Source organism: Homo sapiens, chromosome 6 (genome assembly GCF_000001405.40).
Source record: "Homo sapiens chromosome 6, GRCh38.p14 Primary Assembly".
NCBI classification, from domain to species: Eukaryota; Metazoa; Chordata; class Mammalia; order Primates; family Hominidae; genus Homo; species Homo sapiens.
This window is the reverse complement of record NC_000006.12, coordinates 84,019,437-84,036,222: the sequence shown is the minus strand read 5'-3', so window position 1 is coordinate 84,036,222 and position 16,786 is coordinate 84,019,437. Positions and strand designations below refer to the sequence as shown.

Below are 16,786 nucleotides of genomic sequence, written 5' to 3'. Positions count from 1 at the left end.
GTGGGTTCAAGAGTTATGGAGAGGTTCTCATATATCTACCTTGATATTTCATTTAGGAAAAAAAGCCAAAATGAGAAAAATTTAAAAAAAAAAAAAGACTAGACAGAAAATGACACAATGAGGCATTATCTGGTAATCTTCCAAATATCATAGCTTGGTATAATAATAGTTCCTTAAATATATTACACAAACATCATAAGAATATTGTTCTTCCAATATTTTTTGTACTCCAAGTAATGAAAACATTTCCCTTGAAAGCTAAAAAGGACAGATGTGATATTCTCTTTATACAATTTGAACTAATTTAATATGTTTGATAAAAGTTATCTATGAACTGTGACTATCAAAAAAGGTCACAGATAAATAATTCAGAGATGAATTCTGATTGGCAAAATACCTCAGCATCTGGGGGCCAACAGAAATGGGGAGGAGGAAGCGAACAGCTTTCCAGAATATGTTGATGACATAATCTGCAAGGTAAAAGAAGATGACCCCCACTGTGACCAGAATGGGGCTAGCTCAGAAGGCTGAAAGGGGGCAGCTAGCGATGGGTATGAACACTCACGCAGAGGCAGCAGGATCAGCAACACAGAACAGGACACATGCATCACCAGCGCGCGCTTCACAAAACAGTACTTTCCCTTGCTCCTGCAATGCACTCTGATATCTTATCTTTCTTTCTCTTGGCTTTCATGTTTTAAAAACTGCTATTTGCAACTCACTAAACTGATCATTAGCCTAATGAGTCACAGCCCACATTTGAAGACAATGGATACAGCATACCCTGATCTATATCCCAGTAGATTGCTAGAAAAGGGAAGGGAGTTGGTTTGGCGTAAGTATTTGTAAATGCTTCCCTAGGTAGTTTTGAGCTATCTTAAAGAATTTGTTCTAGAATGTTGCCAGGATTCAATGTTTCCCTCTTTTAAAAAGTCTCCTGGGTCCATTCTCATCTCTCATACCTGCACAAAGATGACTGTAACCGCTTTCACTACTCTAGGACGTCTGCCATTTGGGTTTTGAACAATCCAGTCCAGTTTCGGGCTTCGAGACCCTCTTTAAAGGGTTTAGGCTGGCCTCACTTTGAAAAGAAAGATACAGACTGGAAGCAACTCTTCCTTTTCCTATCACCTGTTAATATTATCTATTCTTCCATAAACACTGGATGATCTTCCTCATAAGAACGAAACTCCTTGTGGGTACCCCAGCTCACAGTGGCCTCTGGCTTTCCTGACCTTATCCTTGCAGGCCCTCGTCACTCTCCTGCACCTGTTCTTGTCTGTGTACCCCATGCAATGTACCTAAAGGAAACTAGACTCACAGTCCTAGCTTCCAGACCCCTACTCCCCACTATTACTTAACTGGGGCAGTCACCTTGGAAAACGTATTTAATATCGCAATCTAATTTTCTCTACCTGCAAACTGAAAATACTACTGTTTACTTTTGGGGTTTTCGTAAGAATTAATTTATGCATAAGAGTTCCCTTCTCTCGTCTCCCTGGACACATTCCCTCAAGCTTCCTTTGCCTTCAAAACACCAGAGTGTTTCACTGTTGTCAAACTAAATGCAGAGTAGTGGCTGAGATTCTGTGCCATCTAACATGCTGTGGAAACCACAACGCCTCCAAACAGGTTTCTGCAGAGACTACTCTTTGCCTTCCTCAATTAATTACACAGAAAGGATGGGAAAGGCACGGGGCACGGGGCGCGGGGCGGGCGGGGGGAGCGGGGGCGGGTTGCGGGGTGGGGCGGCGGGGAAAGTGTAAAACCCCTATTTCCCTCTAATCAGTAACACGACCTGCGAGCAGGCTCCCCAGTCCAAACAAAATGAATGAGCAACTGTCAAGCCAGGCATCATCTGAGAACCCTGCCCAGTGCATGGAGGCGCGCCCGGGGCCAGGAGCCAGCACATTTCCCCAGCCCAGGGGGGCTCTCTCAGTTGCAGGGCACCAAGGCGGCAGGAGGGCCGCAGCAAGGAAAGTTTTCTCACCAGCGGGAAAGGGTGTGCCTCGGCCGCTGGGGCCCAGCGGAGGGGAGGAAGCCCACCCAAGCCCCGAGCGCCGCCGCTTCCAGGCTTTTCGGACGCCCAGCGGCGTCCACACGCACATCAGCGGGCTGCCGGGAAGGTTTTAAACTTGGTGCTCTCCACGGGGTCCACACTCTTCCCGTGGGCGTCCTCACACCCCAATTCTCCTCCTCCCACCCCATTCTCTAGCCCCTCTAAACTAAAGACTGCCCCCAAACCCAAGCAAGCCCTGCCTTGACCAAAGCTGCACGCGCCCCGCACCCAGCGCCCGGGCTTTGCTCCGCCCTGGGCGCCCTGTCCCGCCCGTGGTTACCGGCTGGCTAGCCCCGGCCCGCGGGCTCGGCCCTGGTTCCGGCTCCTGGCTCCTCCGAGGTGCGCGAGCGCCGCCGCCGCCGCCGCCTCCCACCGCCCAGGGCCGGGCGAGTAGCTCCTAGATCCGAGGTGCGGCGGAGACGCGCGCTCCCGACCCGCAGCGGAGGCGGCGCGGGGCGCCGGAGCAGGGCTGCAGCGCGGGAGCCGCCTCCCCAGCGCGAGAGCCGCCTCCCCAGCGCGAGGCCGCCTTGGCCAAGAGGAGGTGAGCTTTGCAGATCCCTTTCCTGCTCACTTTGCCCCTCCGAGTCCGGGTCAGAGCCTGAGTCAGAGAATTCTTTGCCATCCCGGGCTCTGCAGTGGGTCCCTCGGGTCAACTTTGGGTAACAGGAGGAGCTCATTAGCTGAGCAAGAGGGAGTGGGGTATCATGAATCAAGGCTTATGAAAAATCGGCAGCATTGAGTTCAAGTTCAGTAAGGCCAGAGCCCCCCCATAATGTGCTGCTTAAATTACTACCTCGATTTTAGTTTCTCTTCCTGCCCACTGGTCCAGGTGTCAAAGGGCAGTCAGACGTTCAAACGGGGTCCCAAAGGGCTAGCACTGGGCCGGGAGTAGTTTCAGCATAGCAGGGCTGGCTCATCTCTTCCTCCCTTGAGTCCTTATTGCATGCCAGGCATTGATCTGGGAATACAGGTGCTTGGTGCTTGCATTCTACTAAAGAGACAGGCATAAACATAACAAATAACTAAAATACATAGTATGTGAGATAGTGATGAAGTGCGGTGGACAAAAAAGAAGGGAGGAAATGGGATAATGTTTGGAGGTAGGGGGTGCATTTTTAAATGGGATGGTCAAAGATGGCTTCACAGTGGAGTAAAGATCTAAAGGAGATGAGACAGAAAGAAGTCACGCTGGTATCTGGAGAGAAAGCACTTGCTGTGTGGCAGGCACTGAGATGTTCTTTACTGCACTAGTCATTTCTTTTACTACTCTCCATATGCCATATTAGACAGGTATTGCCACCATTTCCATTTTACTGATGAGAAACTGTAACTTAGGAAGGTTAAAGGAACTGCCCAAGGTCATATGCTAGTCAATAGAGGAGCTTGCCTTCAAGGTCAGGAAGCCTGGTGCCCCAGAACCATAGTTTAACCACCATTATACAGCAGCAGGGGAAATGCAGCACCCATGCAGGCTGGTGGCAGTGTGATGAACTCAAGCTGGTGGTGCCAAAAGAGGATTCCTGGAAATGACATCTCATCACTGATTTTTTTTTAAAAGCTCAGTTTCATTACCACTTGTAAAATGAAATATTTTGAACACCATTTTTCTTCTTCTTCTTTTTTTTAATTTTAAGTTCTGGGATACATGTGCAGAATGTACAGATTTGTTACATAGGTATACATGTGCCAGCGTGGTTTGCTGCATTTATCAACTTGTCATCTAGGTTTTAAGCCCCGCTTGCATTAGGTATTTGTCCTAATGCTCTTCCTCTCCTTGCCGCCCACCCCCGACAGGCCCCGGTGTATGATGTTCCCCTCCCTGTGTCCATGTGTTCTCACTGTTCAACTCCCACTTATGAGTGAGAACATGCTCATTTGGTTTTCTGTTCCTGTGTTAGTTTGCTGAGAATGGTGGTTTCCAGCTTCATCCATGTCCCTGCAAAGGACACAAACTCATCCTTTTTTATGGCTGCATAGTATTCTATGGTGTATGTGTGCCACATTTTCTTTATCCATTCTATCATTGATGGGCATTTGGAGTGAACAGGCAACCTACAGAATGGGAGAAAATTTTTGCAATCTATCCATCTGACAAAGGTCTAATATCCAGAATGTACAAGCAACTTAAACAAATTTACAAGAAGAAAACAACCCCATCAAAAAGTGGGCAAAGGATATGAACAGATACTTCTCAAAAGAAGACATTTATGCAGCCAACAAACATATGGAAAAAAGCTCATCATCACTGGTCATTAGAGAAAACCATCTTTATAGTGTGTGTATGTATCTTCTGCCTCATCCACAAGCAGTTTGATTCTAAATAACATAATTTGACAATCTGTGATAAGATTTATTAATCATTCCCCAAGTGTCCACACCAGTTCCAGTTGCTCATTCCTATTCACAGGGATGTGATTCCTCACCCCTGCAGTAGAGCCTCTGCCAAGTGTCTTCAGGGCATTGTGAAAAAGAGTGACAAAACTGCTGCTTCTGAGGGGCTACGGTGTGAACAGGCCAATTTCTGCCTTAGCTGTCGGCATCAGGTGGCCTTGTTCTGGGCAGAGCATCAATGGCTCCAGACAGAAAACCAGGGCACATTGTACTTTGTGAAAAAGGCAGGTCACTAACCCTTGGTTTCAGAAGCTGAAACTGCAGCATCTGGTGAAACAATGACATCAATAGGATGGCCAAGCCCACATTTCTCTCCTAGATATCTCCACCTCCTCATGGTTGCATTCATTCCTGTCTTCCTTCCTCCACTGTCAGCAAAAATCTTTTGACCTTTCCTTTGTAGGAAAGGTCTTTTCAAACACCACTTGTCCCAAAAAGCCTTCCTCATTGTCTCAGCTACAAACGAACTCTTAATCTAAAATCTGATACCTCTCTTATGGCACCTGACATTTCCTACTTTATTTTAAAATTTAGCCTATACTGTATACCTTAACTCCTCCATAGGCCAAATATTAATTTATATTTAATTTCTCCACAGGTCCTAGCATAATGTCTTCTACCCAGTAGACATTCAATGAGTATATTTTTACTGTTGTTCTTAATAAATTAATCTGCAAGAATACAGCTTCATTGTCTTTTAATTTTGTCTTTTCATTCCAAGATAACTCACAGAAATTTAGTGACAGGACTAAGTTATATGTAGCTATAGCTGTTGTTCATCAATATAAGTTGACAATGGTTTGTCTTGAGGTAAATTCCATTTGCCTTATTTCAAGATTAGAAAACAGAGGCTTTAGAGTAATCTCCCTTAGGTCACAATACTAGTCTTCAAGAGAGCCAGGATTTAAACCCAGCACCGTTTGGCTCCAAAATGAGCTCACCACAAGCTCATACTTCTCTTTCAGTCGTTCATTCAGGAATGCATTCATTTGATCTTTCAACAGATATTTGCAAACATTGACTGTGCTCAGCTCTGTCCTAGACACCAGGAAAATAGCAATGATTAAAACACAGTCCTTGTCCTCAAAATGCTCACAATCCTGTAGAAAGGACAAAGGTAAGGAAATAATAAAAACTTAGTATTATAAACCTTTTAGACTCATGGATGTCCTAGAGGAGCACTTGGTTTAACTTAGGTTATAGGAAGTAGGAGGTGACAGCATGGATTCTCTAAGAAGACAGAATGTAATTTTAATTTTGAAGTTTTTTACAATGCTAATGAAGGAAAGCATATGGTAGACAGAGGAAAGAGCGCTTGCAAAAACACGCGTGGAAGGATACAATGCATTCAGAGAATGGCTTTGCTGATTCAAGAGGGCTGCAGCATGGTGAAAGCAGAGTTGACATGAGGCTGGAAAGGTAAGCAGGGCCAAATCACAAGAGGTGCACAGAGTAGCTTTTATGAAGTTCATCACCCGCTTAATATATATAAAAATCATGGCTGTCTATGTATGTCAACTTTCCAGGGTAGAGAGAGGTTGTCTAACTTTAGTCAAATTCTCAAAAAGGCTGAATGACCCAGGGCTAGGAAGTGGGGGAAGTCACTTTCCTTTCCCACAGCCTTCCATAGGTCCATGGACTTCAGGAAATCCCAAGGAATTGCAACATCAACCAGGATATGCTGGATACCTGGATTGGGGTGGGTGCAAGGCTTGCCCCTGCCAAATCACCTCCAAACATGCAGTGGCACTGACATCCCGGGGCTAGGATGGCTTGACCCTGGTCCTCCCAGCACCTGTGCCCATGTGCCTTCTAAGTGTGGAAGGAAGGGGTTGCTGGGTGGCCAGAAGGCCAAGAGGCAGGGAGGCACCTGAGAATGTGTCCTGGGAAGGTGGCAGAAAGCAGGGCCACAGAGAGCCACGACTCTAAGCCCTAAGCGCGTGCTTCATTGCCTCATCTGACTTCAATTGCTGCGATGGGCTGAATGGTGTCCCCCAAAATTCATATGTCCTAAGCCTTGGTACCTCAGAATGTGACTGTATTTGGCGATCGGGCCTTGAAAAAGGTGATTAGGTTCAATGAGATCATATGGGTGGGCCCTACCCCAATCTGACTGTTGTTATAAGAAGAGTACACACAGAGAGACACCATGGGGCATATGGATACAGAAGGACTCCGATATGAAGAGGCAGCATGGGGGTGGCTATCTGCAAGGCAGGGAGAGAGGCCTGGAACAGAGCCTTTCCTGACAGCCCTCAGAGGAAGCCTACCCTGCTGGCACTTTGCTTTTGGCCTTCATTTCCAGAATTGCAAGAAAATACATTTCTATTGGTTAAGCCACCCAGTCTGTGGTACATGGTTATGGTGGCCTGAGCAGACTGATAGACTTACAGAATACCAATTCAAATTTCAAAGAAGTTTAAGAATTCCAAGATGGCGACCACAGAGCATTAAATCCCCAGGGAGGATTTAATGCTTAACCTTCTAAGCATGGTGTCCTGTGCCACTGCACCAGTCATACGCCCATGAAGCTAGGCCTTGGGAATTGGGAAATGGAGATCTGAAGACAACTTGGGGTTCATCAGTGAGGTGGTGTGATTAAAGCTGGCAGATGGGTGAGACTGCTTCTTGGAAACATAAAGTGAGAAGAGAAGAGGGCTGATGTCAGAAAGAGCAACTAGGGACATAGAGGTGGACAAGAAAAGGTGAAACCCAGTGGAGAAATGGGTAATAATGTCTAAGGCCCAAGGACATGTAATTAGGAACCAAACCCCATGGGCCCTAGCATGGAGGTCATGTGGTAGGCACTGGGACCAGGTTGCTGCTGGTTAAAGAATAGGGAGTGCAATTACAGGCTAGTCTTCTAAGCAGGCTTGGGAGGAAAGAGGAGACTGGGGCTGCTGAGGGCCCTTGTGCAGATTTATGGGAGACAGGAGGTCAGGAGGCCTAATATCCAGCCCACACCCAGTCACCAAAGCTAAATCAGCCTGCTGGAAGGGCCAGTGGAAGGCCTTCTAACCAAGACTCCAAATAGCCTAGGCCTGAATAACAAAGCTGTAGCTGGAGCTTTTCCTGTGGATATATATATATATATATTTTTTATCTGAATCCTCTCCCTAGATCCATGAGAGAAGCAACTGTTCTGCCTCCATGCAGCCCCCAGAACAGTGGCGCATAGTAGGCACAGGAAACAAATGTTGAATTAACCAATGGGAGACAGAGTCAAGGGAAAGGTTGTGCTTGTTTTGTTTTGTCTTTATTCATTTGTTTCAGATGAGAGACATAAACATGTTTCTAGATTGAGAACAAGGATCCCAAAGGAAGGGATAAGTTTAAGATAAGAGTTGAGAAAGGAAATAATTGATGAATAAGATAATAAAGAGTAAGAGAATAAATCAAGAGAACTTCTGGAGGGGAAAAAAAAAACCTGAATTATCCTTCAGGAAATTTAATCATTTAGTCATTCATTGATGAGTATCTCGCATTGTCCTGGGCCCTTCTGGGGTTGGGGAACTGAAGGGTTGGAGGGTCAGGGTGGATACAAAAGAAAACCTAAAATATATTCCCTTTCATTTGTTCAAGGTGACACCATCTAGTTAAGAAGTATTTTATGGAAAAAAATACACAGCAATGAAACACAGCAAGAATGTTCCCAGACGTCTGAGTAATAAAGAAAGATTTGAAAACAGAGTGAACTAAGAAAATGCCCGGAGGCATTACAGCAGAGGTGGAGAGCAGATAGGGAAAAGGAAGTAGAGAGAAAATAAGGGAACATGAGCTCTGGCATGGTTTCTTGGCAATGGGCTGGCTGGCAGCTGGCAGCATCAGGAAAACAGGGGCTCAGTGTTGACTCAAGACCTGGGAAGCTCCATTTATTTTCCAGTTGATTAGGACCAATGCCAGCAGTCAGGCTCAGCAGGAAGCAGTAAAATCAAGACTTGTCTCAGAGAAGGACACATCCCTGATAGTTAATGTGTCTGGGCATGGAAAACCTGGCTTTTTTATAATGAGTCCAACAACAAGGCAGGACCAACTGAAGAAAGTGATGAGAAAGAAAAATTGACATTGTTTTCAGAAGTTAAAGTACATACTATGACACAGTTACCTCTCTAACTTGTTTCCTTTAGAGACGAGGATAATCTATCATCCAGTCAAATCAAAGGCAAAACCTCACACACAAAGGAACCCAGGAATTCTACTAGCTAAAGCCAACCCAGGGAGCAGCAAGTACAACTCATATCAAGGATACAGTTTCCTCCTTTTCCTCAATTAAGTTTCAGAAAGTAAATAGGAGGAGTGAGTGTTCAGAAGCCCCAAGGCTTGCAAGATGTGAGGAGTGCATGCTGCAAATGGTCACGTTCTCATCGTGAATTGCTCCCATCTCATTAATGGCAACAATTCTCTGCCCATTTCTTTCTTAGGTGATTTGAGGGTTTATTGAGTATTATAAACTTTCTTACTCTTTGGCATAAATTGGATTTCATTTGCTTTGTCTTGGTTTTATACTGTTGCTCTTTTCAAATCAGCACAATTATTCCTGAATATATGTGCACTGCTTTCACTTGCCAATCATTCCTTTTTATTCCAGGGAACACATGCCAGGGCACCGCACACCTCTGCAGGCTCATACATACAGGACCTCAGCCCCTACTTCCTGGTAATATTCATTTTTTCTTTCCCTTCCAATGTTTAATCATTTACTTGAAGCTTCCCGCTTGCTGCTAATCCTATTGTTTTGTTCCTCCAGTAGAACTGCACAGACTTCCACCCACATAACGTGGCACTAGGCAGACAAAACATCTGATATATTTTAGTTCATGCTTGGCATTCAATCAAGAAGACGAAGCTGTGAGCCATGCTGAAATGCCAACTAAAATTCATTTTGCACTACCAGAAAGAGAGAGAGATGGCACACCGAGGAGAAACTGTAGCCTCATGGCGATCATGTGTAGCCCTAGGCTCTAACACTAGCAAATTTCTTTCCCTCAAAATTGAATTGGTGCATTTTGAAGTGAAATCCTGATGGCTTCTTGTTTACTATCACACAATAATGAGGAAGCTTCAGTTTATTGGCACGGAGCTCAGCCACTCTCAGACAGCAAATGGAAAAGAGAGACTAACTTGTCCTGGTGCTTTGCTCCTTGTTATTCCTTTAATTGTGTCACAGCCAATACAACGCATGATGGAATTATTCCGAAATAGAGAAACACGTTGAGCCTAGACATTGACTGTTACAGCGGTGTGGGTGGAGTCCACACATACTCATGCCCCCTCTCTTTCCCACATGCCTGCACACCTGTCTATTCAGTGAGGGGAAGATGAGGTCTTGCAGCCCTGGGTGGCTTCATCTGCCCATGAGGGTCACTTTTCTCTTCTTGGTTCTTTTACCTCAAAGATATTCTGTGATCACTATGTGCTGAAAGCATTCAGCATTCTTCTGCCTCTGCTCAAATTATCACTAGTACTGTTCTTAACATTTCTGGTCCCACCAAAATTCATGCCCATTTTGTAGAAACTGACCCAATGTGAGGATGATGAATAATAAAAAGGAGGTGTGTGTGTGCGTGCGTGTGTGGGTGTGTGCATGTGCGTGTGTGTGTGTATCTGGGTATGTGTGTCTGTGTATAAAATCTCAGAAAGAAATGTTGAAATAAATATGAAACATTTAAATTTTTTATTATTTTAAAGGTAATATCAGCACTTTTTGGAAAACAAAATAGAAGAAAAAGTCATCTATAACTTCACTACTGTAAAACCACCAATGATAGCATTTTGTACTTTTATTTTTAAATTTTTTTATTTTTAATTTTTATGGATACATAATAGTTGTAAATATTTATGGGGTACATGTGATATTTGGTACCAGTGTGTCAATATGTAATGATCAAACAGGGTAATTGGGATATCCATCACCTAAAGCATTTAACATTTCTTTGTGTTAGGAATATTCTAATTCTACTTTTTAGTTATTTTGAAATATACAATAAGCTATTGTAAACTATAGTTGCCCTATTGGGTTACTGAGCACTAGATCTTATTTTTTTTTTTTTAATCTAACTGTATTTTTGTGCCCATTAACCAACTCCTCTTTATCCTCTCTCCCTACTACCCTTCCCAGTGTCTGGTAATCATCATTCTGCTTTCTATCTCCATGAGTTCAATTTTTTTTTTAGCTCCTATATATGAGTGAGAGAATGAGATATTTGTCTTTCTATATCAGGCTTATTTTACTTAACATATTGCATTTACTTTAAGACTGTTGTAAAACATGGCTGTTTACATAGCAACCATATGGTGTATTAGTCCATTCTTAAACTGCTGTAAAGACATACCTGAGACTGGGTAATGTGTAAAGAAAAGAGGTTTAATCAGCTCATGGTTCTGTGGTCTGTACAGGCTTCTGTTTCTGGGGAAGCCTCAGGAAACTTACAATCATGGTAGAAGGTGAAAAGGAAGTAAGCACATCTTCATATGGCCAGCAGGAGAGAGAGAGAGAAGGGGTGGGGTGCTACATACTTTCAAACAACCAGATCTTGTGAGAACTCTATCGCAAGAAAGTCAAGGGGGAAATTCACCCCTATGATTCAATCACCTCCCACCTCCCACTGGTAATTACAATTCAACATGAAATTTGGGTGGGGACACAGAGCCAAACCATATCATATGGTACCTTTAAATGAGTATATTGATTTTCCCACATAATTCCATTATATTGTAGGCATTTTCTATATTATTATATAACTTTATAAGCATCGACTCCTTTTTGAGAGGGTGTTCTTGCTACATTACCTAAGTTGACCTTAAATTCTTGGGTTCAAGTGATCCTCCCACCTCAGCCTCCTGAGTAGCCAGTACTACAGGCAGGCACCACTGCACCTGAATCCAAACATCAACTGTTAATGGCTGAGTAGACACCATAATTTATTTAACTATCTCATTATTAATAGACACTTAGGTGGACTCCAGATTTTTTTCTACTATAACTATTGCTGCAATGATATTTATATTTATCATTATATTATATAAAGGCAGATATGATAAAATACACAGCTATATTACAGATATTACAAAATACAGTTATTCTCTCTGGACCTTAATATTTATTTCACATTTGCAGAAATTTTTCAGATGTCTACCAATAGGTGGGTCCAGCAATATCTAGCTTTGCAAACAAGGGCCTCCTGTGGGTAACAGCAGACATATACCAATGCAATTTTTTGTTTAAAAACCCTAAATTTTTCCTTATTTTATTATCAAGAAATGTAATTATTAAATGCCTTACATTTATAAGTGAGAAATCATCCATTTAGCCTGGACATGGTAAATCTGAGGGCAGGGAGAGATAATAACTGTCTCCAAATGTCTGAAGACCCAGAAGCCCAGGGAGACTTGCTCTGTGGCCTCAGGTGGAGGCAGGTTTCAGCTGAGTGAGGGGAACTTCTGCCAGGTTGTCCAGAGAGTTCCCCCTTGGTGGCTATGATCTCGAACAGGCTGGATAAGCACCTGGCAAGGACAGAGTCAAGGTGTTCATCAACCTGCAAGGCTGGATCATGTACTCATTAAGCTCCCTTCCAGCCCTGAGAAACAGTGACTCTAGAAGTTATATAAAATGAGTGTTCTCTGGCCGGGCGTGGTGGTTCAGGCCTGTAATCCCAGCTCTTTGGGAGGCTGAGGCAGGTGGATCACCTGAGTTCGGGAGTTCAAGACCAGCCTGACCAACATGGAGAAACCGCATCTCTACCAAAATACAAAATTAGCCAGGCTTGGTGGTGCATGCCTGTAATCCCAGCTACTCGGGAGGCTGAGGTAGGAGAATGGCTTGAACCTGGGAGGTGGAGGTTGCAGTGAGCCGAGATCGCACCATTGCACTCCAGCCTGGGCAACAAGAGCAAAACTCCATCTCAGAAAAAAAAAAAAAAAAAAAAAAATTAGTGTTCTCCTTTTGTAAAATAGAATATAATTGATTACCATAATCTTGAATAGTTTAAAGTGAAAAGGTGAGTTCCTTTATCATGTGCATTCATTCAATAAATTTGTATTGTGGACTCATGATGATTCAGGCATTGTTTTAGATGCTAGGGCTCCAAGAGTGAACAAACCGACAAAAATCCATGCCTCTATAGAGCTTACAAATGCCTACTACAGTTTTCAAAATGTTTCACTTGTTTTCTTATTTGACCCCATGATGATTGCCTGAGGTATGTAGAGCAGCTATTTTCCCTGCTATGAATGAAGAAACTAAGGCTTAGAAAGATTCAGTGACCTCCCCAGGAGCACACAGAGAGTTGTGGAGGAAGAATGAAAACTCATCCCATCTGGGCAGGATGGCTCCCAGCACTTTGGTAGGCTGAGGCTGGAGGATCACTTGGGCTCAAGAGTTCAAGATCAGCCTGGACAACATAGTAAGATCTTGACACCAAAAAATTTAAAAATTAGCAAGGCATGGTGGCATGCATTTGTAGTCCCAGCTACTCCAGAGGATGAAGTAGGAGGACTGTTTGAGCCCAGGAATTTGAGGCTGCAGTGAGCTGTGATTGCACCACGTACTCCAGCCTGGGCAACAGAGCAAGACTCTGTCTCAAAAACAAATAAATAAATAAATATGAAAACTCAGCCCTGGTAGCACCTGCTCTGGTGCTCCGCACCTGCCATGTTACCTCACCTGGGGTCCCTGCATGTGGAGAGGAGCTCATATTCCTGCAGTCCCACCTCATACTTCTGGAGTGGACAACATATCCTGAGTTTCCTAAAAATTACCACAAATTTTATGTTACAAAGAGACAAAGCCGCAGAAAGAAGCAGTGCTCTTTACAAGCCTAATATATTTTAATTTTTAAGCCATGAAGTTCTCCAAAGGCTGACATTACCTCTTACTCATTTTTTTTTTCGAGCCCGAATCTCGCTCTGTCGCCCAGGTGGAGTGCAGTGGTGCGATCTCGGCTCACTGCAAGCTCCGGCTCCCAGGTTCATGCCATTCTCCTGCCTCAGCCTCCCGAGTAGCTGGGACTACTGGCGCCCGCCACCACGCCCGGCTAATTTTTTTTGTATTTTTAGTAGAGACGGGGTTTCACCGTGTTAGCCAGGACGTTCTCGATCTTCTGACCTCGTGATCCACCCGCCTTGGCCTCCCAAAGTGCTGGGATTACAGGTGTGAGCCACCGCACCCGGCCCTCTTACTCATTTTTGAAAACCCCATGTCTGGCACATAACACGTGCTTTATCAGTGTTTGTTAATGGATAACCACAACTCACAAAACACAAACACTATTCTTATATTGTGTTTTTAAAGTATGTTGTTCTTATGAAGTTACAGTACCTTAGAAATGGGAAGTTCTGGTGTTTCATACAATGTTCATGAAACTGGAAGGGTAAAGTATGGATCTGTGTATTGATAACAGAAATGTTTGGTAAAATGTGCAGGACTGGCAGGGCAGGGTGACTCATACCTACAATCCCAGAACTTTGAGAGGCTGAGGTGGGAGGATAGCTTGAGGCCAGGAGTTTGAGCCCAGCCTGGATAACACAACAAGACCCTGTCTCTACCAAAAAAAAAAAAAAAAAAAAAAAATTTTTTTTTAATTAGCCGACCCTGGGGGCACAGACCTCTAGTCCCAGCTACTTAGGAGGCTGAGGTGGGAGGATTGTTTGAGCCCAGGAATTCAAGGCTGCAGTGAGCCATGATTGTGCCACCACACTTCAGCCTGGGTGACAGAGTGACACCTCATCTTTAAAATAAAAATAATAAAAACATGTAGGACTGATGCCTTAGGGAAATGTTTAATCTTCATTTTAAAGCATTGCTTATTTTGAGAGTTGCATGATTATTTTAGTGCACTTCAGTATGTTTTGCTTAATTAAATTCTGGCCTTTAGTTTTCCAGTATTTTACCAAGTTCTCCATTATAATCACTGGATTGTATTTACCCAGAAGTGAAGTAATCGTGTGACATCACAGATGTCCTCTGCACTTGGAAATTGAGAAAGATAAACATATCTTTCCATGGAAGGTTTCTAGCAGATTGCCCTCTATTTTAAGGGAAAAGTTAATACTCACTCCTCATGTTCTCATTAATTGAGAACAAAGCCATGTTAAACCTAAAGTAGAAGACGGGATATATCTATAAATATACATACATAACATATTGTTTTAGTCCATTTGCGGCTCTAACAAAATACGGTAAACTGGATGGCTTATAAACAATAAAAATCTGTTTCTCATGGTTCTATAGGCTGGGAAGTCCAAGATCAAGGCACTGGGAGAATCAGTGTCTGATGAGGGCCTGCTTCCTGGTTCGTAGGATGGCAGCTTCTCGCTGTGTCCTCACATGGTGGAAGGGATGAATGAACTCCCTTGGGCTCATTAATTTCATTCATGAGGGCTCTACCTTTAGAACCTATTCACCCCCAAAAGGCTTCACCTCTTAACACCATCACTGAAGGGGTTAGGATTTCAACATATGAATTTTGGGAGGACATAAACATTCAGACCATAGCACATATATAACATAAATGTATTTACAAATATATATGATACATTAATGTATGTAATTCATGAAGGAAGGATATTCAGTGGAAGAGAAAGAGCATCAGGTGAAAATGATTTAAAACACATGTCTACCTAGGTAGATGGGAATATTTGGAAAAGCTAATTACTGAAGATAGGTCTAAACTCATGGGTGTCTGTGCTCTGGAAAAACAATTGCTCACCATTGTCCACTTCTGAAAAATAAATTTAAAAAACCGATTAATGGAATGAAGCTGTTTGGCAGGATCAATGTACTTACGGAGAGGCAGTACAAGAGGCAGTGAGAACACAGGATCAGAGTCAAAGAGGTCTTCATTGGAATCTCTGTTCTGCCACTAACTTGTTCTGTGCCTTGGTTTTTTTATCTGTAAAATAGGGATAAACATGGCCTCCAGGTTTTTTGCAGTGATGAAATGAAATCACATACGTGGAGAGCTTGGGATGGTGTCTGTCATGGAGTAAATACCATGGGGCAGCAGCTGTTATTCTTGGTTATGCATGATATGAGCAACAATCGCATGGCCACAGTTTCCACCTTGTTGTGAAAAAATGTTCAAATCTGGACTTCTGAGTTTGAGTCCAAAAGTAAATAATTTTGGTACTCTGGGTAAGTCAATGAATCTGTTTATGCTCTTTTTTTGTGACAAAGCATCAGTTATCTAATCCTCACAAGTAATTTTGCTTCAATTCCAGGGTCACATAAAAAGTGGTATCCCATGGCACATGTTTTCCTATGTAAGAAAGCTGCACATCCTGCACATGTACCCAGGAACATAATAAAATACAATAATAATTTTTTTTTTAAGACAGTTTCACTCTTGTTGCCCAGGCTGGAGTGCAATGGCACCATCTCGGCTCACTGCAACCACCACCTCCTAGGTTCAAGTGATTCTCCTGCCTCAGCCTCCCAAAGTAGCTGGGATTACAGGCGCCCGCCACCATGCCCAGCTAATTTTTTTTTTTATTTTTAGTTGAGACGGGGTTTCACCATTTTGGCCAGACTGGTCTTGAACTCCTGACCTCAGGTGATCCACTCGCCTTGGCCTCCCACAGTGCTGGGATTACAGGCGTGAGCCACCGCAACCAGCCATATATATATATATATTTTTTTAAGTGGTATCAAGAATGGCCCACCTCAAATGGACATCATCTCGGGATGTGAATGAGTTAGGCCTCAATTAGGCTTTCCATGAAACTAAAATATCTCCCAAGAGACGCTGCAGCTGCTGTCTGTGGTTCATGTTTTGCCAGGTTTGTTTTTCTCTGTGCCTGAGAGCATTTTCTGGAGCTGGGTTGCTTCCTTTTCACAAGAAACGGTGGCTGCTTGGGTAACTCGAGCTCCTTTTTTATTTTTTTTTTATTTTTATTTTTTTTTAAGAAATCCAAGCAAAACATAATGAGGACAATAAATCTCTGGGCAGAAGCATTCCCAACTTAGAAAAGAAGTTGTTCACTATCTGCGGTTTTAGTAGATCTTAAAAGATGGCTCTGCTTTCTTTTGATGAGAATGGTCTCTGCAATATTTGCTTTAAACACGGATTCATTCCCTAGAGCAGTGCTCCCCCCCCCAACCCCACCGCCTCGCCCCCGAACCCACCGCCTCGCCCCGCCTCCCCACCGCCTCGCCCCGCCTCCCCACCGCCTCGCCCCCCTCCCCACCGCCTCGCCCCCCTCCCCACCGCCTCGCCCCCTCCCCACCTCCTCGCCACCCTCCCCACCTCCTCGCCACCCTCCCCACCTCCTCGCCACCCTCCCCACCGCCTTGCCTTCCAAGGCTTTTCAGGTGAGCAACTGCTTTATCTCCGGGAAGGA

The 16,786-nt window shown here is 43.9% G+C and overlaps 1 protein-coding gene and 1 long non-coding RNA gene across 9 annotated transcripts in view; both read right to left on the bottom strand.

Moving 5' to 3' along the window:
- The window catches only part of MRAP2 (melanocortin 2 receptor accessory protein 2), a 113,105-nt gene extending 110,060 nt beyond the window's left edge, over window positions 1–3,045 (bottom strand). For 6 of the 8 annotated variants that reach the window (XM_017010221.3, NM_001346542.2, XM_047418132.1 and 3 more), the window contains exon 1: window positions 2,340–2,451. The gene's annotated coding sequence lies outside the window, so the exon portion shown is untranslated. Of the gene's footprint in view, window positions 1–1,990; window positions 2,105–2,339; window positions 2,452–2,852 lie in introns of those variants that run through there. The other 2 variants (XM_017010220.2, NM_001346544.2) reach the window with 2 other exon arrangements.
- LINC02857 (long intergenic non-protein coding RNA 2857) lies at window positions 10,229–15,336 on the bottom strand. The gene is made up of 3 exons (XR_001744233.3): window positions 15,234–15,336; window positions 13,113–13,196; window positions 10,229–11,953 (listed from the first exon to the last, which is right to left on the bottom strand). It is a non-coding gene; the product is annotated as a long intergenic non-protein coding RNA 2857 (long non-coding RNA).
- Window positions 15,337–16,786: the final 1,450 nt, after the last annotated feature.